The following is a 25,598-nucleotide window of genomic DNA, read 5'->3' on the forward strand; positions in this document are numbered from 1 at the left end:
CTCACCCAAGAGCTGCATAAGTGTGGACCTTATCCTATTCAGCATAATGGTGACTGAAAACTGAACAGACAGACCATAGCCAAGGTCCAAGACTGACCACTGGGTGGCACACATCCAGGAAAGATAAATCATACTATAAAGACTTTGAAAATGGAACTGACATTGAAACCACAGCCTACAGAGGAGGGTTGGAACCAGTGGCCTGAATCTAAGCAGGTTGACTGCCTGCTTAAAACAAAACTATTTAACAGTCTCCATAGAAATGAAATAAGATCAGATTCAAAATGTCTAGCATAGCCTAGTAATTTGGGGTAATAAATTACTAGGTAACTAGAATTACCTCGTTCTTTGCTGGGTAACCTGAAATTACCTGGCAAATAACTAGGAAAATGCCAAAGCACCAGGTAAAAGATAATCAAAGAATGCCAGTGTTAAAATAACACAGATGTTGAACTTTTCAAATATTTTAAAGCAGCCATTATAAAAATGCTCCAGCAAGCAATCAAAAGAATTCTTGAAACCAATGAGAAAATAGTAAATATTTGCACTGAAATTGATAATATGAAAAAAAATCAAAAGAAAAGTTTGACCTGAAAATAAAATAATCAAAATTTAAAATTCATTGGATAGCAAGGAAGGGAGGCAAGGAGGGAAGGAGGGTGGGAGAGAGGGAGACATTCAATAGCAGAATGTCAATAACAGAAAAAAAAATCAGTGAACTAGCAAATATGTTTGTTCTGAATCAGTCTGAACAAAGAGGAAAAAATGATTTTTTTTAAATAACTGAACAGAGCCTCATGGACCTATAAGACTATAACAAAAAGTCTAATTTTGTGTTATAACAGTCTCAGAAATACAGAAGAAACAGGGTGATGCTAAAAAAAAAAAAACTTAAGGAAATAATGACAGAAAACTTTGCAAATTTGATGACAGACAAACATATAGATTTAAAAGCACAGCAAACCCAAAAAGGAGAAATCCAAAGAAATTAGTCCTAGGCACATCAAAATCAAACTGCTGAAAATAAAAGACAACCAGAGAAAAACAATGCTGTATACATAAAGGAAAAATAATTTTAAAGACTAAAAATTTTCATCAGAAATCCTGGAGTTTAAAAAGGAGCGGAACAAGAGATTTAAAGAGCTGAAAGAAAAGAACTGTCCACCAAGAACTCCATGTCCAGCAAAAATATTCTTCAGGAATGGAGGCATTCTCAGATAAGGAAAAACTAAGATAATTAATTGTCAGCAGTCATGCTTTCAAAGAAATTCTGAAGCAACTTCTTCAGACAAAAGGGAAATGAGACCAGAAAATAAATTTGGAAAATCATAAATGAAGAAAAAGCAATAGAAATGGAAAATATCTGGGTAAATAGGAAACTATATTTCTTTTAAGTTGTCTAAAATATGTTTAAACAGTTGAAAGAAAAATTATAATACCTTGTGATGAGATTTACGATGTAACTACATGTAATGTATAAGAACACTACAACATAAAGAGGAGAGAATACATAGTACTACATATTGGGAAAGTTTCTGTATTCCACTTTAAGTAACAAGAATATTGATTCTAAATAGTCTGTGAAAAGTTAAATACACATATAGGAAGCCCTGGAGCAACTACTTAAAAAAATATAAAAACACTATACATTAAAGCTGGACACTAAAAATATTGAAATAACCCCAAAGAAGGCAGGAAAAGTAAAACAAAGGAATGGAAAACAAAGAGAATAAACAAAAAAATACTAAAATTTTAGAAATACTCCAAACATTGAAATAATTAGAGGCAAATTCAACCTACAAAAGGCAAGACAGAAATTGTGGAATGGATCTTTTTTAAACACATGAACCAACTATACACAGTCTATAAGTAACTAACTTCAAATATATAATGACATGGTTCAGTTAAAAGTTAAAGGATAAAAAATATATACCATAGAAACACTAGTCAAAAGAAAGCTAGACTGGATATACTTATACCAGCCAAAGTATACTACAGAGCAAAGTGAATTACCAGTGATAGAGATATTATATCAGAGAACAATAAACTTTTTCTATAAAAGCCCAGATAAATATTTTAGTCTCGGCAAGCCGTATAGTCTCTATTGCAAAAGTATAATTCTGACACTGTGGTACAAAACAAACCATAAAAAATACATAAATGAATAGGCTTGAATGTAGTCTAATAAAATTTTATTTACAATAACAGATGGCAGGCTGGATTTTGGCCTGCCATAGTTTGAGTCAGAGTTTACGGAGCCCAATACTTTATATAAAAGTAAAATGGTCCACTGGTCAACAAGATATAACGTTGCATATGTATCAACAGAGCTACAAATACATGAAGCAAAACCTGACAGAACTAAAAGAAGAAACAAAACCACAATTACAGTTGGAGAGTTGAATATTCTTCACTCAGACAGACAGAAGTAGTTAACAGAAAATTTTTTAGGATAGAGAAGAACTGAACCCAATTGATTTAATTGACATTTACAGAATATTTCTCCTACAACAGTGGGATATATAATATATTCTGTTCAAGTATACATGGAACGTTAATCAAGGCAGACCATATCCAGGGTCATAAAATTCTTTCAATATCAAAGAACTGAAATCCTACAACATATATTTTCTAACTATAATAAAATTAAACTAGAAATCAGTAGTAAAGGTAACAAGAAAATCTTAGAAATTAAATTACATACTTCTAAATAATCCATAGTTCAAAGGAAGTCTCAAGGAAAATTTAAAAATATTCTAAACAAAAATAAGAATATAGCATATCAAAATCTGTGTGATACAGCTAAAGTAGTCCTTAGAGTGAAACTTACAGCATGAAATGCTCATATTAAAATAGAACAATGATCTCAAATCTACAAGTTAAGCTTCCACCACAAGAAACAAGAAAAAGAGAAAAATAAACCCAAAGCAATGTAAAGAAGATAGTGACATAAATAAGAGCAGAAATCAGTGAAACTGAAAACAGAAATCAATAAAGGAAATCAATGAAATAAAAAACTGATTATCTAAAAAGATCAATAAATTATTGTTAATTATCAAGAAAGACTGACCAAGACTAAAAGAAAGAAGATACAAGTTACCAATATCAGATGTAAAAAAGGGCTTTTACTACATACCCTACAGACATTATAAAATATAATAAAGGAATACTATGAAAAACTCTACATAAGGAAATTCAACAACTTAAATAAAATGAACCAATTCCTCAAAAACCACAACCTGCCCAGACTCACCCAAAATGAACCAAACAGTACTATATTAAGAAATTTTGGCCGGGTGCGATGGCTCACGCCTGTAATCCCAGCACTTTGGGAGGCCGAGGCGGGCGGATCACGAGGTCAGGAGATCGAGACCATCCTGGCTAACACGGTGAAACCCCGTCTCTACTAAAAATACAAAAAATTAGCCGGGCACGGTGGCGGGCGCCTGTAGCCTGTAGTCCCAGCTACTCGGGAGGCTGAGGCAGGAGAATGGTGTGAACCCGGGAGGCGAAGCTTGCAGTGAGCTGAGATAGCGCCACTGCACTCCGGCCTGGGCGAAAGAGTGAGACTCCATCTCAAAAAAAAAAAAAAGAAAAAAGAAAAAAAAGAAAGAAATTTTATCTGTCGTCAAAATCCTTCCAAAGAAGAAATCTCTAGACTCAAATGGTTTCACTGGTGAATTATACCAAACATTTTATTTTATTTTATTTTATTTTATTTTTTGAAACAGAGTCTCACTCTGTCACCCAGGCTGGAGTGCAGTGGCATCATCTCGGCTCACTGCAATCTCCACCTCCCAGTTTCAAGCGATTCTCCTGCACCAGCCTCCTAAGTAGCCGGTATTATAGGCACCTGCCATCATGCCTGGCTAATTTTTGTATTTTTGCAGAGACAGGGTTTCACTATGTTGGCCAGGCTGATCTTGAACTCCTGACTTCAAGTGATCCGCCCACCTCAGGCTTTCCAAAGTGCTGGGATTACAGGTGTGAGCCACCACGCCTGGCCTCCAAACATTTTAAAAAGAAATAATATCACTACTGTATTCCATAAAATAGAAGAGAAAGAAACACTACCTATTTTATGGGACCAGCATTACCTTCATATTCAACCAGACAAAGACAGTATAGAAAAAGAAAACTACACAACAATATTCTTCATATAGAAGTGGAAAAAAAAAGCCTTAACAATATCCATTCAAATCCAACAATACACCAAAAAATGAATACACCGTGACTAGGGTTTATTCTAAAAATGTAAGCCTGGTTCAACATTAAGAAACCAATCAATGCCCACCATATCAACAGTCTAAAGAAGAAAAAAATACATGATTGTTCAATTAATACAAAAAAAGCTTTTGACAAGATTCAAAATTCATTCATGATTTTTTAAAAACACTCTCAGTGACTAGGAATAGAAAGGGACTTCCTCAGCTCCCTATAATTTGGTAGATGATAAAGTTCATCATTTTTAAAAATCCCATAAATAAAATCATAACAGTGAAAGACTGAATGTTTTCCTCCTGTAATGGGAAAACAAAGCAAGGACAAACACATTCACCAAATTATTCATCATCATACTGGAAGTCCTAGCTAATTTAATAAAGCAAGAGAAAGAGATAGGAACGAACTAAATTGTCTCTGTTTGCAGATGGCATGATTGTCCATGAGGAAAATCCCAAGAAATCTACACCAAACTGCTACAATATCTGAATATAGCATGAGGACACAATACAACCAACATGAAAAATTGACCATATTTCAATATACTATGAATCTACAGTTGGAAAGCAAACTTTTTTAAGAAGTACCAAACATCTCCAGAAAATACTGAAATACTAATTATTTTTAAATGGTAAAGTGAATTCAGATCTCACCAGTTACATCAACTAATTTATGTGTCTGTGTATTCTATGCAATTTTATTACATGTGCAAATTCATATTACCACCACAGCAGTAAAAATATAGAACAGTTCCATTACAAGGACCTTTAGTGCTAGCCTTTCATAGGGACAGTCTTCCCCACCTGTTAGCAACCACTAATCTGTTCCCCATCACTACAATTTTGGCATTTCAGAAATGTTATATACATTGAATTATATAGTATATAACTTTTTGAGATTGGCTGTTTCCACTCAGCATACTGCCCTTGAGATCCATTCAAATTATTGTGTGAATAAGTTATTTGTTCTTTTTTTATATTAGAGTAGTATATCAACAACCTGAATGACTTTTAAAGATATTATACTGAGTGAAAGTCTACTTTCAAGAGGTTATATACTGTATTATGACATTTATGTGGTATTATCAAAAAGAAAAAATACATATATAGTGATTGAGAATAGATCAGTGGTTGCAAAAGGGAGGAAGATATGACTACGTAGAATAGCATGACAGAGTTCTTTGAGGGGTGATAGGAGGTACCACAGTTTCTTTAACCATTCACCTATCGAAGGACAATTAGGTTGTTTCCAGTTTTTGCTTATTATGAAAAAAGCTGCTATGAACATTTTGGCATAAGCTTTTGTGTGAACATAAGTTTTCATTTCTCTGAGATAAAAGCTTAAACATTCAACAGCTGGGTCATATGATAAGGAGTAATTTTCTGGGGAAAAAAAAATTTGCCCTATTCTATTCCAGAGAGGCTCTATGTTCCTACCAGCAACATGGTGTCTTCCATCATCATCAGCATTTGGTGTTATCACTATTTTTTTTTAACTTTTAGCTATTCTAATAGGTATCTAGTGATATATATTGTAGTGTTGTCATTCTCTAATGGCTAATGATATTGAATATATTTTCATGTGATTATCTTTCATCTGACTATTCTCTTTGATAAACCATCTGTACATATCTTTTGCCTACATTTTAATTGGGCAATTTTTTTCATCACTGCTGAGTTTTAAGAGGTATTTATATATTCTAGATACAAGTTATTTGTTAAATATGTGTTCTGTGAATATTCCCCCCCCCAGTATGTAGCTTGTTTTCATCCTCTTTACAATGTTTTTCAGATCATGAAAGTTCTCAAATTTGATAAAGTCCAATTTATAATTTTTTCCTTTTTTGGATTATGCTTTTTCCAAGTCTAAGGACTCTGCCTAGTCCTTGATCCCAAAGATTTTCTCCTATGTATGTTTCTAAAAGTTTTATAGTTTTATGTTTTAAATTTAAGTATTTAATCTATTTTTAGTTAATTTTTACATAAGGCATGAAGCTTAAGTCAAAATCTATTCAGCATATGTGTGTGGTTTATTTTGGGGTTCTCTATTCTGTTCCATTATCTATGTATTTATTCCTCCATTAAATACCACAGTCTTTATTACTGTAGTTATGTAAAGTCTGAGCATCAGTTATTCACCACATTTTACACTTCTTTACCAAAATTATGTGAGTCTAGATTTTTTGCATTTCCATATAAATTTTAGAGTATACTTTTTTACGTCTACAAAAACCTTTCTAGGATTCTGAAAGATACTAAATTAAACCTACAGTTCAATTTGGAGAGAAATGACATCTTTACTATGTTGAGTCTCCCAATCCATGAACATGGTACATCTTGCTACTTAGTTAAGTTTCCTTTGATTTCTTTCATCAATACTTTGTAATTTTCAGCATACATATTCTATATATACTTTGCTAGATTTGTACTAAGGCATTTCATTCTTTGAATAATTTGTAAGTAGCATTGTGTTTTTAATTTTGGTTTCCACATGTGCATTGTCAATATATGGAACTGTGATTGATTTTTGTAGCCTGCAACCTTGCTGAGCTCATTTATTAGTTCTAGAGATATTTTTTGTAGATTTCTTGGGAATTTTTTATGTAGACCTTCATGTCATCCACAAATAAGTATAATTTTATTTCTTCCTACCTAATCTGTATGCCTTTTTTTTTCTTGCATGTTGCACTGGCTAGGACCTCTGGTGTTGTATTGAATAAGAGAGGTGATAGCAGATTATCTTTGGTTTATTTCCAATATTGGGGAAGAAGATTCAGAAGTATGATGTTAGCTTTAGGTTTCTATAGATGTTCTTTATTAAGTTGTGGAAGTTTTCCTCTTCTTCAAATTTGCTGAGAATTTTTACCAAAAATAAGCAATTTGTAAAATGTCTTTTCTGCATCAATTAATGTAATTTTTCTTCTTTAGCCTGTTGATATAGTGAATTTTATTGACTGATTTTCAAATATTGAAACAGCCTTGCACACCTGGAATAACCATGATTGATCACGTTTTATAATTATTTTTATACATTATGAGATTAAATCTGCTAACATTTTGTTGAGGATATCTGTGCCCAAGTTCATAAGATATTGTTCTGTAACTGTATTGTTTTGCACTATCTTGTCTGGTTTTTGTATTGATGTAATAATACCCTCATACAATGATTTGGAAATGTTTCCTCCTCTTCTATTTTGTGGAAGAGATTGTACAAAATTGGTGTTAATTTTAAATTCAATGTTCAATAGAATTCCCCAGAGAAATTATGTTGGCCTAAAGATTTCTTTTGGGGGAGCTCTTAAATCATGAATTCCATTTATTTAAAGGTTATTGGATTAATATTGTATTTCATCTTGGATGAATTTTGTATTTTGTAGTTTTCTAGGAATTGATTCATTTATTCTAAGTTGTCAAATCAAATTTATCTATGTAGAGATATTTGCTGTATTCCCTTACTATTCCGTTAATGACTACAGAATTTATAGTAATATCTTGTTTCATTCCTGATACTGGTATTTTGTGTCTTCTCCTTCTTTTATCTTTGTCTGTCTTGGCCACTGGTTTTTAACAGAGATGCAAAAAGAATTCAATAGGGAAAGGTTAGTCTATACAACAAATAGTATTGGAACAATGGGACATCCATATGGAAAATAAAATGAATTTCAACATATACAAAAATATCTCAGTATGAATCTCACAACTTATACAAAAAAATCTCAAAATAAATCTCAGATCTAAATGATGTAAAACTTTTAGAAAAAAATAGAAGATATTTTTGTTAACTGAAGTCAGACAAATAATTCTTATACATGATACCAAAAGCGAGATCCATAAAGGAAAAAAATAAATTTTATTAAAATTAAAATAATTTGTTTACAAAAGATATTCAATGAAAAGAATGAAAAGCTGCAGACTGATAGACATATATATAAATAACTTGGAATGAATTTCCTGTGTTCAGAACATTCCAAAAAGTATCAATACTCAACAGTAAGAAAATAAAAAATATATATATATAAATGGGCAAAAGATTTAAATGCTTCACCAAAGAGGATATATGGATAGAAAATAAATACATAAAAAGATGCTCAACATCATTAGTCATAAGAGAAATGCAAATTAAAACAACAATGAGATACTACTACTGACCAATTAGAATACATAAAATAAAAATACTGGTAAGAACAGCAAACAGTCAAAACTCTCATATAATGCTGGTGAAAATGTAAAAATACTACAGCTCCTCTGGAAAAAGTCAGCAGTTTGTTGTAAAAACAAATATACACTAGGTTACAAGGCAATCCCACTCCTGGCCACCTATTCCAGAAAAAAAATGAAAATTTATATTCACATAGACATCTGTACAAAATGTTTATAGCAGTTGTATTCATAATTGTCAAAACCTGGAAATAACGTAAAGGTCTTTCAGTGGGCAAACGGATAAACAAACTGGGATACATCCATACAATGGAATGCTACTCAACGATAAAAGGTAACAAACTTTTAACATTCAACATCTTGAATGAATGTCAAAAGTATTATGCTGAGTGAAAGAAGGCTACTTTCAAAAAGTTATGTGCTGTATAATTACATTTCCATAACATTATCAAAAAGAAAAACACTACTATAGTGATTGAGACTTGATCAGTGGTTGTAGAGCTTAAGAAGGGAGGAATATAGGACTGCATTATAAAGAATAGCATGAATGAGTTTTTTGGGAGATGATGGAACTTTTCTGATTGAGGCAATGGTTACATAAACCTATGCATGTATTGTTAAGCTTCACTGACATGTATAACAAAAAAATCAATTTTATTGATGATTTTTTGAATAAATAAGTAAATAAAACATGGGAGGAAAGAGAAGGCAGTCATTGCATGTGATGACAAAGATCACACATAACATGATAGAGTATTGGCTCTCAGCTAGTGTTGGTATTTAAAGCTATAGCTCAGTAGAGAACAAAAAGAGTTAAAGCAAGTGCTCTAGGAACTATACCTAAATTCTCAGTCCATCTTTTTTATACAGCAGCCCATACTGGAATAATTCTTAATGATGAAATTGGAAAAAATTAAAGCATCTGACAATACCAAATGAGAAAATTTGAACCTTATACACTGCAGGTGGGAGTGTTAATTTTTATGACCACTACAGGGTCATGAAATTTTGTAAAAGTGAATGTGTACGTGCCCAGCAATTCCATTTCTATGTGTACATCCTACAGAAAGTTGGTGCTTCTACAGACAATATTGTGTGTGAGAGGATATACCCATCAATGCTGTTTATAAAAGGAGAAAATTGGAAACAACTCACATGTCCACAATTAGGTGAATGGATAAATGAATTTTAGTGTATACCTATAATGAAGTAAGTTTCCAAAAAAGGACATCTGGCCCCAAGGGTTTTAATGAAGACTTTTATGAAATGCTTAAAAAAGAATTAACACTATTTCTACACAATCTTACCAAAAAACAGATGAGGAAGAATGCTTACCAATTCATGTTATGCAGCCAATATTTCCCTAATATCAAAACCAGAAAAAGATGATAAAAACAATACCTACAGACTATTATCCCTTCTGAATATTAAATATGGACACACAGATCTTTAACAAAATATTAAAAATAGAACTCAGTAATATATAAAAAAAGTATACCTTCATCAAGTTAAGTTTATTTCAGGGATGTAGGATGGTTCCCATTAACAACCTAAAGAAGCAAAATTACATGATCTTATGAATTGATGCAAAAAATGCATTTGAAAAAATTCAAAATTCAATCCTGATTAAACACTCTCCAAAAATTTAGAATAGAGCAGAATCTCCTTAACTTAATAAAGAGCATCTACAAGAAATCTACAGCTAACATCACAATGGTGAAAGCATGAGTGATTTTCCCCCTTAAATTAGGAGAAGGGAAGTATGTCTGCTCTCACCAACCTTATTCTACAGTGTTGGAAGTGCCAGCCAGTGCAATAAGGCAAGAAAAGGAAATAAGAGGCATACAGATTGTAAAGGAAAAAAATTTTCCATATTTACAGATGGCACATGGTTTAAATCTGAAGAAATACACAAATAAACTCCTGGAATTAACTAGTAAGATTACAGGATACAAGATCAACATTCAAAAATCAATGATATTTCTCCCATCCAAGTACTAATCAGGCCCAACCCTGCTTAGCTTCTGAGATCAGACAGGATCAGGTGCATTCAGGGTGGAATGGCCATAGACAAAATCAGTGATATTTCTATACAAACGTCACAACCTATGATGTTTTGACTTCCAATTGTGGAAATGATATGCATTCCCTATGCTCATTGACCTACAATGGGGTTACATCTGGATAAACCCATTTTCATCATAAGTTAAAAATACCTTAAGTAGAAAACGCAGTTTCAACTTACAGCATTTTCAACTTATGATGGGTTTATCAAAACAAAACCACATCATAAACTGAGGAGCATCTGTATAACAAAGAGCACACAGAAACAAAATTAAAAATACAAGACCATTCACATTTGCACATAACAATGAAGTACTTAAGTATAAACCTTAAAAAAAATTTACAGGACTTATATGCTGAAAACTACAAAATACTGATTAAAGAAATCAGAGAAATATATAAATAAAGTGGAGTGGCTTACCACATTCATAGATTGGGAGATTCGACATAGTGAAGAGTCAGTCCTTCCCAAATTGATACACAGGTTTAACATAATCCGTATTAAAATTCAGCAAAATTTTCTACTTGCTTATTCTAAAATTAATATGGAAAGGCAAAGGAACTAAAATAACTAAAACAATTTTGAAAAAGAAGGAAAAAGTGGTCTCAAGACATGTAAAATATAATAATCAAGACTATGTAGTATTGTTGGAAAAGAACATAAACCAATGAAACAGAATAGCAAACCCAAAAATAGACCCACATTATTATGGCTAACTGATTTTTTTACAAGGGTACACAAGTAATTCAATGAAGGAAGGATAGCAAAATAAGTTGGAGGAATCAGATATTCATTGGCAAAAAAAAAAAAAAAAAAAGATCTTCAACCTAACCTTCATGCCTTATACAGGATTTAACTCAAAATGAATTGCAGATTTAAATATAACACATAAAACTATAAAACTTTTGGAAGAAAACATAGGAGAAAATCTTCAGGTTGGTGAAGAGTTCCTAAACATGACACCAAAAGCATAATACATGAAAGAAAAAAAATCAATAAGTAGGGCTTAATTAAAGGTAAACACTTGTTCTCTGTGAAAGACCCTATTAAGAAGATGAAAAAGCAAGTTAAAAACTGGAAGAAAACATTTGCAAACCACATATCTGACAGAGGACTGATATCTAGAATGTATGAAGAAGTCTTGAAACTCAACAGTGAAAAAACAATACACTTTAAAAATGACCAAGAAAAACATGAACAGACATTTCACCAAAGAGGAGATACAGATGGTAAATTAGCACTGTAAAAGATTTTCAACATCACTGCCCTATTTGTGGGAATAGTACAGCCACATTAGAAAAGAGTTTGGCAGTTTCTTTCTTTCTTTCGTTTGTTCGTTCGTTCGTTCTTTCTCTTTCTTTCTTTCTCTCTCTTTCTTCTTTCTTTCTTTTTTCTTCCCTTCTTTCTCTTTCTTTCTTTTCTTTCTTTCCTTCTTTCTCTTTCTTTCTTCTTTCTTTTTTTTTTTTTTTTTTTTTTACAGTTTCACTCTTGTTGCCCAGACTGGAGTGCAATGGTGTAATCTCAGCTCACTGCAACCTCCGCCTCCCGGGTTCAAATGATTCTCCTGCCTCAGCTTCCCTAGTAGCTGGGACTACAGGCATGCACCACCATGCCCGGCTAATTTTTTGTATTTAGTACAGATGGCATTTCACCATGTTGGTCAGGCTGGTCTCGAACTCCTGACCTCAGGTGATCCACCTGCCTCGGCCTCCGAAAGTGCTGGGATTACACGCATAAGCCACTGTGCCCAGCCGGCAGTTTCTTAAGGAATAAAATATGTATTTACCATATGCTCCAGAAATTGCACTCCTGGGCATTTATTATAGAGAAGTGAAATTTTACATTCACACAAACACATACACAAAATTCTCATAGCAGATATATTTATAATAGCTAAAAACTAGAAATAAGAAACAATCAAAATGTTCTTCAATAAGTAAATGGTTAAACTGGTGTACAGTATTCCCCCCTCATCCACGGTTTTACTTTCCACAGTTTCAGTTACCTGCAGTCAATTGTGGTTTGAAAACATTAAATGGAAAATTCCAGAAAGAAAAAATTCACAGGTTTTAAATTACACACTGTTCTCAGTAGCATGGTGAAATCTTGCCTGTCAGTCACTTAGTTATCAGATTGATTGTTGCGGTATCACAGTGCTTGTAACACAGGCACCCTTATTTTAACCTTTACTTCTATTTGCTATTAGTAGCCCTACAGTAAATGAGTAACCCTTTTTTTACTTAGTAGCCCAAAAACACAAGAGTGCTACACCTAATTTGTAATTTATCATCAATCTGTATGTATAGGAAAAAACATAGTATATATAGGGTTTTGTACTATCTGTGGCTTCTCAGTCATCCACTGGGGATCTTGGAATGTATCCCAGTTGGATAAGAGGGGGATTACTATACATCCATACCATGCAATATTACTTAGTAAGGAAAAGAAATGAACTGCTGACACATGCAATAACTTGGATACATCTCAAGGGCATTATACTGAGTGAAAAAAAGCCAATCACAAAACATCACATTACTTATAATTCCATTTATCTCATATTCTCAAAATGAAAAAAAATGACAGAGATGGAGAACAGGGTAGTGGTTACCACGTATTAGAAATGGTGAGAGGGAAAGTGATGGGTGTGACCATACAGAGTAGGTAATATGAGGGAGGTCTTTGTGATGATTGAACAAACACTTCTCAAAAGAAGACATTTGTGCAGCCAATAAACATATTTTAAAAAGCTCAACATCACTGATCATTAGAAAAATACAAATCAAAACCACAAATGAGATACCATCTCATGTCAGTCAGAATGACGATTATTAAATTGTCCAGAAACAACAGATGATGAGGTTGCTTTTACACTGTTGGTGGAAGTGTAAATTAGTTCAACCATTGTGGAAGACAGCATGGTGATTCCTCAAAGATCTAGAAGCAGAAACCCCATTTGAACCAGCAATCCCATTACTGGATGATATGGTTTAGCTGTGTCTCCATCTGGAGCTCATCTTGAATTGTAGTTCCCATAATCCCCACATGTCGTGGGAGGGACCTGGTAGGAGGTAACTCAATCATGGGGATGGTTACCTCCATGCTAATCTCATATAAGTGAGTTCTCATGAAATCTGCTGATTTTATAAGGGGCCTTTGCCCCTGCTCTACACTTCTTGCACCACCATGTGAAGAAGGACAAGTTTGCTTCACCTCCCACCATGATTGTAAATTTCCTGAGGCCTCCCCACCGATGCTGAACTGTGAGTCAATTAAGCCTTTTTCCTTTATAAATTACCCAGACTTGGGTATGTCTTTATTAGCAGCATGAGAGCAGACCAAAACACTGGGTGTATACCCAAAGGAATGTAAATCATTCTGTTATAAAGATCCATGAACGCTAATGTTCACTGCAGCTCTATTCACAATAGCAAAGACATGGAATCAACCCAAATGCCCATCAATGATAGACTGGATAAAGAAAATGTGGTACATATACACCATGGAATACTATGCACCCATAAAAAAGAATGCGATCATGTCCATAAAAAAGAATGCAGGGACATGGATGGAGCTGCAAGCCATTATCCTCAGCAAACTAACACAGGAAAAGAAAACCAAACACCACGTGTTCTCTCTTGTAAGTGGGAGTTGAACGATGAGAACACGTGGACACATGGTGGGGAACAACACACACTGGGGCGTGTTGAGGAGGGTAGCAGGAGGGAGAGTATGAGGAAAAATAGCTAATGGATGCTGAGCTTAATACCTAGGTGATGGGTTGATCTGTGCAGCAAATCACCATGCCACACATTTATCTATGTAACAAACCTGCACATCTTGCACATGTACCCCGGAACTTAAAAGTTGAAAAAATATATATATATAACAAAATGATGATGAATGAAATGTTATTCAGGGATCTGCTGTACTGTTATTCTTGGGAGAGATATGTATGCATATGTATATGTACATAGATACAGATAGATATAAAATCTACTATATGACAAGCTCCTCATGGGCATAAACCATGCCCTATTTATTTTTTTTAATCTTCAGAACCAATTATAGTGCCTAGTACACAGCAGGGATTCAATAAATTTTTGATGAATAAAATAATAAATAATAAATTAAGATAATATTTTATCAGTGATTTTAATTGGCTTTTCTGAAATAATAATCTTTTCAGATTCATAAGCTTATCAAAGAATATCAAAGCTATTGTTTCATAACATAATTCTAGAATTTACTCCCAAAGCATTGTTAGTGACTAGGAATATTTTTTCCATTGTCCTGCCCCTCAGTGTTACCACAGTAATTCAACCTATGCAAAATGATACTATTCAAACTATGAAGACACTACATGAGATAATGGGTTCATCATGCACATACTATCCAGGACTTTCAATCTTACAATATTTCTTATAATATTTAGATGATTTTTTAAAATGGTGCTAACAAGTGAAAAATACACAACAGTAAAAAAAAAACAAAGATGGTAACATTCTAGAGGGAAAGCCACTTATGAAAAACTTCAGTCTTTGATCTGCTAATTAATTTTACAGAAAGGCAGCCATTCTACATTTTACACTGCCCAAGATAAGATGTCTTGCCAATGTGCATGCATAACTCCACCTTTATGAGAAACAAAAAGCAAATAATCAAAAAATAAGAGCCACTCCTACACTCCTAGGTAAATACCCAAAAGAAATGAAAACACAGACCCACACAAAAACTTGTACATTAATTTTATTACACCATTATCTATAATAGAATAAAAGCAAAAATAATCAAATGTCCATCAACTGATGAATAAATAAAATGTGGTTTATACATATAATGGACTATAATTCATCAATAAAAAATAATGAATTACTGATACATGCTTCGACATGGATAAACCTGAAAATATTTGGTGAGTGAAAGAAGACAATCACAAACATTACTTATAATGTTATTCCATTTACATGAAATGTGCAGAGTAAATAAATCTATACAGAAAGAGTAGACTGGCGGTTGCCTAGGACTGAAGGTGTTTTGTGAAAATGTGAGGCAATTGTTGATAAGTACAAAGTTTCTTCTTGAGATGATGAAAATATTCTAAAATGAACTATGGTGATAGTTCAGAACTGTGAATATACGATAAATCATTTAATTGTATACTTTAAATGGGTGAACTATGTGAATTATATGTCAATAGAGCTATTAAGTTTTTTAAGTGATATTTGGAACTTTTTCAAGAGAGCAAAATCCAAGTAAATTATTTCTGTGAGGACTTACATCACTGTTTGCATATAATTATATCTTCAGCACATTATAGTACCCACAGTTAATGATGACAACTTTGTGTCATTAAACAGGATAAACTTTAGTGATATATTTGAAGGCAGAAGACAAGATAGTATATTATACTAAGTTTTCACCCAAAAGGATAAAATTTAAGTTCTGGTATGAAAGAGTTAACCCTAACTGGAAAACTCAGGCTTTTCCTAAAGGCAGACTTGGAGTCTAAATCACTGATGATTTTCCTGCAAATATATTAGTAGTTAACACTAAATAATACAATAATTTATATACACAGCAGTTTCATGATTACCTGAGACAGGGCACATGCGAATGCTTGGCCGATAGCTGTTCACTAAGAAAAGCTGACAAAGTACTTCTACAGGTCTGAAGCTGGTTGATTTTGGCATTTTATCAGTTTCCCCTTCCCAGCCCAGTTAATTCTGACAGCCAGAACGATGCCTGTTTCAGTGAGCCCACTTCCAGGCAAACAGCAACACCTGTCAACTAGTTCAGGTTAGTTTTCATCCTAGAACACCCATTAGCCACACTGATAAGAAAGAACTAGAAAGCACTTCTACATATCTGACATTATCTCTTTGTAACTGCTTCATCCTTCCTAACACTATCTTAACCCTACTAAACTAACATTTTACAATTTGGCTGAAACTCAGTCAACCAAGACAAAGTCTGAAATAGTATAACATAATCTTTTAAAATGTTTTACTTTTGACTCCCAAAAATCTATCCTGCTCCTGCTATGCCTACCCCTCAGACTTTATTCCAGCAAAATAGGTGAAAATATTATTAATTATTGCCTGTAATTCCATATTATCATGTAAAATCAGCTAAGAATTTATGAAATGCCTTACTGTATGCAAGATACTATTTCGATACTGTAAATATTCAAAAACGAAAATGACATAGAATAATTTTACACCAGAAAGACTGCAAGAGAAAAAAAAAACTGCTTCCAGGATCAGAATATATGCAGTCCTCATAAAATCCATTTCTACCTGTGTTTGTAATTGTCCTGAAGGAAATGACCAATACTGGAAAGGAGGACATAGGATAAAGAGCTATAAAGTCAAGTAATATAACTAAAGGTTGAAGAAAAACCAAAAATCTAAATAAAACTGGTCTAAAATCTAGGCTAAATTAAAATCATGTTGGAAATCCCTTTGCAATACACACCAATAATGAATATCAAGAAATTGACTACTTGTGAAAAAAAACACTACTGGCTATAGCTTACTTTTCTTAACTGCACTTATTATGTGAAATTAACATTTCTACTTTTGAAAAAGAAGGTCCTTATAGATCTTCCTAAGCACTTCACTTTAAACTATATATACAGAAAGCCAGTTACACTATTGTAAATTTCTCCTTGAGTTTCTTCTCTACGTTAGTGCTAAGTTGGTTTGATGTTAAGACATAATTGACTCAATATATAAAACTCAATTGTATTTCTATATACTAACAATGAACAGTTAAAAAAATTAAGAAAACAATTCCATTTATAATACCATCCAAAATAAAAAAGTATTTAGGAATAAATGTAATAAAAGAAGTGTAAAACTTCTTAAAACTATAAAACACTGTTTAAAGAAATTAAAGAACTAAATAAATGGTAAGACATTCTGTACCATTACAGTAAAAGACTTAATATTGTTAAGATGGCAATACTCCCAAATTTACATATTCAATGCAATTCATATCAAATCCCAGCTGCCTTTTTTTGCAAAAATTGACAAGCTGATTCTAAAATTCACGTGGAAATACAAGGGACCCTGTATAGCTAAAACAATCTTGAAAGAAAAAAATCAAAGTTGGAGGACTCACATTTCCAGATTTCAAAACTTACTACAAAGGTTGAATAATCAAGATAATGTGGTACTGCCATTAATAAAAGACATACATAGGTCAATGGAGCACACTTGAGAGGCTAGAAATAAACCCTTACACTTATGGTAAATTGATTTTTGACAAGAGTACCAGGATAATTCTGTGGGTGGTGGGGGTGGGGTCAGTAGCCTTTTCAACAAATGATCTGAAATAACCGGATATCCATAGCAAAAGAATGCAGTTGAACTATCTTGTTACACCTTATGCAAAATTTATCTCAAAATGGATCAGAGGCCCAAAAGTAAGAGCTAAAATTATAAAACTCTTGGAAGAAACATAGACATAAATCTCTATGATATTGCATTAAGCGATGGTTTCTTACTATTACAACAAAAGCACATTCAACAAAAGAAAAACATAAATCAATTTGATACTAAAAATTAAAAACTTTTGTCCTTCAAAGCCCACCATCAACAGAGTAAAATAGCAAACTACAGAAAGGGATAAAATGTTTGCAAATCATATATCACTGATAAGAGACTTCTATCTAAAAATACCAAGAGTTCCTATAACTCTATAATTTAAAAAAAACAGTTTTTAAAAGAGCAAAATATATGAATAGACATTCCTCCAAAGGGGATATACATATGGCCAATAAGCACAAGAAAAGATGCTCAATATCAACAAACATCAGAGAAATGCAAATCAAAACCAAAATGAAATACTACTTTTCATCTATTAGAATGCTATTAGCAAAACGACAAATAAACAGAAAATGTTGGCAAGGAAGTAGAGAAACTGAAACCTGCATACACTGCTGGGAGGAATTTAAAATCGTGCAGCCACTTTGGAAAACAGTCTGTCAGTTTCTCAAAAGATTAAACTTAAGAGTTACCATATGACCCAGCAAATCTATTCATAAGATATAACCCAAGACATAAAATATATGTCCACATAAACATTTTTATATGAATTTTCATAGCTGCATTATTCATAATAGCCAAAAAGTGGGAATAATCCAAATGTCCACCAACTGATGAATGAAAAATGTTTTATATAATGAATGTTATTCAACAATAAAAAATGTGATACATGCTACAACATGGATGAACCTCGAAAACATGCTAAGTGAAAGAAGCCAGTTAAAAGGCCACATACTGTATGATTCTATTTGTGTGAAACGTACAGAATAGGCAAACCCAGAGACAGAACATAGATTAGTGGTTGCCTAGGGCTGGGGGCTTTGGGAGGAAATGGTGACTGATTGTTAATGGATACAGGGTTCCTTTCCGAGTGAGGAAAATATTCTAAAACTGATTGTGGTACTAACTGCACAAGTCTGTGAACATATTAAAAACCACTGAATTGTATACTATAAATGACTGAATTGTATGGTATGTAAATATCTCAATAAAACGTTTTAAACAAAACTTGGTGTAATATTTTATAAAAGCAAAAGATTTTTCTTTAAGCTTTCTTGCCAGATGGTTGGTCTCATTCTTTTTTCAGCACCTTAACTATTGCCACTTTAATACTCTATAATATATACAGTATAATGATACCATAGATTACAATGTTGAATTACTGGTTCATCATATATTTTTGTTTAAGAGTTAGACGAAGGGAGAGAAGTACCTTAACCCTTTAAATCTACTAGTTTTGCACCATTTACCTAAGAATTCTACAGCGGGATTTGGATATAAATCCAGCCAACAAGGTAGTACCTTATTTCTTAAACAAGGAAAAAAAAGAAAAAAAATTATGTACTTAAATATTGAAATTAAGGACTCACCCAAAATAACCATATACATCTAAAAATAATCCTAATTTTTAATACAAAGTATAATTTTTATAGACCAACACTTTGCCAATCTCACACTATTTAAAAAAGGATTTAAAAAGAATTTAAAAATTTAAAAGAGAATTTTAAAAATCACCTTTATGTACTAAAATTTTAAAGCTTTATATATTTAAAATTTTTAAATCTTAACTCACATTTAAATACAGAGTTTTCTTTCAGTTCCATGATACAAAAAAAAAAAAATAGTTGATGAGTACATCAATTAGTATATATACATACTTCCCATCTGGAGAGGGTACTTATAAACTCCATTTTCAAGTGTTTCAAGCAGCTAAGCACCTTGTCACTCTGACAACTAAACCTGTATCCACTATGGGAAGAATAGCCAAAAGATCATGCAAAGTGAAATTCCCCGCTGGACGTATTCGATCTGATCTGAGACGGCCTACAGCAATTTAAGAGAAAAAAATACGTATTTTAATATTTTCCATAAAATATCACCTTTATGACTCAATACTATGTTCAAAACTACAGTTATACACTACATTGCCAAAATTTCCTAATTATTTCTCCAATCCTTTCTCCACATTTACTTCCATCTTAATCATGTGATTATATCTAACCTATTCCTTTTTAGAAGATGTGATTTTATGTTAGCTACCATTTTCTCTTTACAGAATATTCCAACTGAAAAACTACTATTTCTACTCTGGCTTTCAGACAGGCTCATGCCAAAGCCAAGATGTTCTATTTTTAAAGATCTCCAAAGAAAGGAATTCCAGAAACTTCCTAAGTAAACAATACGAAAGCTTTACAAATTTCACTCTTAGGAAATTTTTCCATAAACTAACTTAATTATCCATGTGGAAGATTAAGATCACTTGTATTTTCAGTGAAAATGGCATTATAAGAAGTTTGTTGTTAGGATGTTACATGATGCAACATTCCACATTTTTTAAATAATCAGTAACCTTGTCACAGCATCTAAAGCTCTGGATTATGGCACATGAATCAAGGTTGCTTTCAACAAAAGACTTGGTTTTAATTTTCTATTCTCTACAGAGATTCTTAATACTTTATAACCCTAGCTAGGACAACTTCAGATGATTACAGTAGTACACAAAAATACTAAGATTAAGGAGGAGTCTCCCCATTCACCCTACAAGATTTCTCTTATCAGTTCCTCTTATTGCACAGGTAAGAAAAGAAAACTGGTAAAAGAGCAAGAACCTAAATAAAAGATTTTCAGGCAATATAGGGAAGAGACTCAGTCCTGAAAGAGAAGTGACATGGTAACCAAGGGCCTGATGGGCCTTACGTGTCCAAGCATATTCCCTCTCCTACCTTTTTTCCTCCCTTAACAAGCTTATTCATGTCACATAGCAGGAAAGGGGACCTTGTCTAACTTAGCTGACCAGGCTGAATTCCTAATTATAAAAGGAAGAACCTAACCATTTATCTCTTTGAGTCATGCCCTCCAAGGTCACTGAAATAAGACTGTAGCATTCCTGATGAGAACCTGACCAGATCCAGTGGCTGAAGACAAGATGGACTCCAGCACTGATATTTTACTGACTTTTTCCTCATTATAATCTCATTGTAATACTAAAATCTCTGCTCAAGATGGGGCATATCCAACACTTTCTGGTCATGTGATGCATGTTAAAGCATGATGTCCCACTACACAAGCATGGAAAAACCCTGCCTAAACATGCTTGTATATCATTGCTTTTCCCATCTCAACTTCCTTAAAATGAAAACAGCCTAGCCCCTTGGGGAGCTAGCACCAGGATCCCCTTCCTATATGCTGCTCCCTTGTGATTGTTAAAGCTGCAAGCCTATTAAACATTGCCTGAAGAAAGTTTATATTTGGCCTGGCATTAATTTCTATTTACATGAGGGCCAAGAACTCAAGGTCCAAGCTGCAGTAAAAATTTCAGTCCATTCCTTCCCATATAATCAACAATTCACTGCACACCAAGTTTAAAATGAATAACACGGGTACATCTTCATTCAAAATCTCACTGAATACAAAAGTCAGAATTTTTAAAACCTGATGCTTTAATTTTCAAATAAACAACTAATTGTGTATACTGTACCAGAGAAAAACAGAAAATGAAGAACTAATCTCATGAAGTTGATGGAATGGATTTCTAAACAGGACTTTGCATGTAATAAAAACAGTCTACTGCAACTATAAGTTTTAAAAACTAGTTTTAGTCCTTTAAAAAGTATAACTGTTTATTTTTAACAAACTGCATAACGAAATCACCTAAATTAAGTAGTGCTACATCTGCAAGAGTAGCTTCTAACATTGCCTTAGTTACCAAATTTCCAAGATTGCGCTCAGATTTTCTTACTGTAATTTCACAGCCATCTAATTGCATATCAGTTGGGCACAGAACTTCTTCTAACATATACCAAAAGAAAAAAAAGGGGGTCGGGGGAGATTCAAGGTGGCCAAATAGGAAGAGCACCAGTCTGCAGCTCCCGGTGAGATCAACGCAGAAGGTGGGTGATTTCTGCATTTCCAAATAAGGTACCCAGTTCATCTCACTGGGACTGGCTGGACAGTGGGTGTAGTCCACGGAGGGCAAGCCGAAGCAGGGTGGGGTGTCACCTGACCTGGGAAGCAGAAAGGGTCAGGGAATTTTCTCCCCTACCCAAGGGAAGCCTTGAGGGTCTGAGCCTGAGGAACTCTGGAAGAGATAACTGTGCTTGTCCCATGGTCTTCGCAACCACAAACCAGGAGATTCCCTCTGGTGCCTAGTCCACCAGGGCCCTGGGTTTCAAGCACAAAACTGGGCCACCAACTGGGCAGACACCGAACTAGCTGGAGGAGCTCTTTTTTTTTTTTTTTTTTTCCATACCCCAGTAGTGCCTGGAATGCCAGCAGGACAGAAACATTCACTCCCCTGGAAAGGGGTGCTGAAGCCAGGGAGCCAAGTGGTCTGGCTTGGCGGGTCCCACCCCCATGGAGCCCAGGAAACTAAGATCCACTGTCTTGAAATTCTCACTGACAGCAGAGCAGCAATCTGAGCTCCACCTGGGACATTCCAGCTTGGTGGGGGGAGGGGTGTCCACCATTGCTGAGGCTTGAGTAGGTGTATTTACCTTCACAGTGTAAACAAAGCCACTAGGAAGTTCAAACTGGGCAGAGCCCACTGCAGCTCAGCAAGACTGCTGTGGCCAGACTGCTAGATTTCTTCCCTCTGGACAGGACATCTCTGTAAAAAAGGCAGCAGCCCCAGTCAGGGGCTTATAGCAGACTTAAATGTCCCTGCCTGATGGCTCTGAAGAGAGCAGCGGACCTCTGAGCACAGCATTCCAGCTCTGCTAAGGGTCAGACTGCCTCCTCAAGTGGGTCCCTGACCCCCGTGTATACTGACTGGGAGAAGCCTCCCAGTAGAGGCCGACAGACACCTCATGCAGGAGAGCTCTGGCTGGCATCTTGCAGGTGCCCCTCTGGGTCAAAGTTTCCAGAGGAAAGAACAGCAGCAATCTTTGCTGCTCTGCAGCCTCCGCTGGTGATACCCAGGCAAACAGGGTTGGCAGTGGACCTCCAGCAAACTCAAACAGACAGGCAGCAAAGGGGCCTGACTTTTAGAAGGAAAAGAAACAAACAGAAAGGATTAGCACGTCCATTCAAAGACCCCAGCTGAAGGTCACTAACATCAAAGACCAAAGGTAGATAAATCCACAAAGATGGGAAGAAACTAGTGCAAAAAGGCTGAAAATTCCAAAAACCAGAATGCCTCTCCTCCTCCAAAGGATCACAACACCTCACCAGCAAGGGAACAAAACTGGACAGAGAATGAGTTTGACAAACTGACAGAAGTAGGCTTCAGAAGGTGGGTAATAACAAACTCCTCTGAGCTAAAGGAGCATGTTCCAACCCAATGCAAGAAATCTAAGAACCTTGAAAAAAGGTTAGTTGAATTCCTAACTAGAATAACCAATGTAGAGAAAAACATAAATGACCTGACCACAGCACAAGAACTTCATGAAGAATACGCAAGTATCAGTAGCCGAATCGATCAAGTGGAAGAAAGGATATCAGTGATTGAAGATCAACATAATGAAATAAAGAGAGAAGACAAGATTAGAGAAAAAAAATAAAAAGGAATGAACAAAGCCTCCAAGAAATATGGGACTATGTGAAAAGACCAAATCTATGTTTGATTGGCATACCTGAAAGTGATGGGGAGAATGGAACCAAGTTGGAAAACACTCTTCAGGGTATTATCCAGGAGAACTTCCCCAACCTAGCAAGACAGGCCAACATTCAAATTCAAGAAATACAGAGAACACCACAAAGATACTCCTCAAGAAGAGCAACCCTAAGACACAAAATCATCAGATTGACCAAGGTTGAAATGAAGGAAAAAAGATTAAGGGCAGCCAGAGAGAAATGTCGGGTTACCCACAGAGGGAAGCCCATCAGAGTAATAGCAGATCTCTCTGCAGAAATCCTACAAGCCAGAAGAGAGTGGGGGCCAATATTCAACGTTCTGAAAGAAAAGGATTTTCAACCCATAATTTCATATCCAGCCAAACTAAGTAAGCTTCATAAGCGAAGAAGAAATAAAATCCTTTACAGACAAGCAAACGCTAAGGGATTTTTGTCACCACCAGACCTGCCTTACAAGAGCTCCTGAAGGAAGAACTAAACATGGAAAGGAACAACTGGTACCAGCCACTGCTAAAACATACCAAATTGTAAAGACCATTGACACTATGAAAAAACTGCATCAAATAATGACAAAATAACCAGCTAGCATCATAATGACAGGATCAAATTCACACACTACAATATTAACCTTAAATGTAAATGGGCTAAATGCCCCCAATTAAAAGACACAGACCGGCAAATTGGATAAAGAGTCAAGACCCATTGGTGTGCTGTATTCAGGAGACCCATCTCACGTGCAGAGACACACATGGGCTCAAAATAAAGGGATGAAGGAATATTTACCAAGCAAATGGAAAGCAAAAAGAAGCAGGAGTTGCAATCCTAATCACTGATAAAACAGACTTTAAACCAACAAAGATCAAAAGAGACAAAGAAGGGCATTGCATAATGGTAAAGGGAACAATGCAGCAAGAAGAGCTAACTATCCTAATTATATATGTACCCAATACCAGAGCACCCAGATTCATAAAGCAAGTTCCTAGAGACATACAAAGAGACTTAGACTACCACACAATAATAGTGGGAGATTTTAATACCCCACTGTCAATATCAGACAGATCAACAAGACAGAAAATTAACAAGGATATTCAGGACTTGAACTGAGCTCTGGACCAAGTGGACCTAATAGACATCTACAGAACTCTCCACCCCAAATCAATAGAATGTACATTCTTCTCAGCACCTCATCGCACTTATTCTAAAATTGACCACATAATTGGAAGTAAAACACATCTCAGCAAATGCAAAAGAAGAGAAATCATAACAGTCTCTCAGACCACAGTGCAATCAAATTAGAACTCAGGATTAAGAAACTCACTCAAAACCACACAACTACATGGAAACTGAACAACCTGCTCCTGAATGACTACTGGGTAAATAATGAAATGAAGGCAGAAATAAAAATGCTCTTTGAAATCAATGAGAACGAAGACACAAGGTACCAGAATCTCTGGGACACATTTAAAGCAGTGTGTAGAGGGAAATTTATAGCACTAAATGCCTACAAGAGAAAGCAGGAAATATCTAAAATTGACAATTTAACAACAAAATTAAAAGAAATAGAGAAGCAACAGCAAACAAATTCAAAAGCTAGAAGAAGACATGAAATAACTAAGATCAGAGCAGAACTGAAGGGGATAGAGACACAAAAAAACCCTTCAAAAAATCAATGAATCCAGGAGCTGATTTTTTGAAAACATCAACAAAATAGATAGACTGCTAGCTAGACTAATAAAGAAGAAAAAATAGAAGAATCAAATAGATGCAAAAAAAACGATAAAGGGGATATCACCACTGATCCCACAGAAATACAAACTACCATTAGCGAATACTAGAAACACTTCTATGCAAATAAACTCCCACATGTGAGTGAACTCCCATTCACAATTGCTTCAAAGAGAATAAAATACCTAAGAATACAACTTACAAGGGATGTGAAGGACCTCTTCAAGGAGAACTACAAACCACTGCTCAAGCACACAAGAGAGGACACAAACAAATAGAAAAACATCCCATGCTCATGGATAGGAAGAATCA

General features: G+C 34.5%; 2 annotated features.

Annotated features, from left to right (window-relative positions):
* Nucleotides 22,143–22,643: an enhancer, noted in NCBI's record as "H3K27ac hESC enhancer chr5:63702820-63703320 (GRCh37/hg19 assembly coordinates)". NCBI's record gives its function as "activates a minimal SCP1, AML or CMV promoter by ChIP-STARR-seq in primed H9 embryonic stem cells {active_cell/tissue: H9 hESC(primed)}" and the evidence as "EXISTENCE:reporter gene assay evidence [ECO:0000049][PMID:30033119]".
* Nucleotides 22,644–23,144: an enhancer, noted in NCBI's record as "H3K27ac hESC enhancer chr5:63703321-63703821 (GRCh37/hg19 assembly coordinates)". NCBI's record gives its function as "activates a minimal SCP1, AML or CMV promoter by ChIP-STARR-seq in naive H9 embryonic stem cells {active_cell/tissue: H9 hESC(naive)}" and the evidence as "EXISTENCE:reporter gene assay evidence [ECO:0000049][PMID:30033119]".

This window comes from Homo sapiens, chromosome 5, assembly GCF_000001405.40.
Source record: "Homo sapiens chromosome 5, GRCh38.p14 Primary Assembly".
Lineage (NCBI taxonomy): Eukaryota > Metazoa > Chordata > Mammalia > Primates > Hominidae > Homo > Homo sapiens.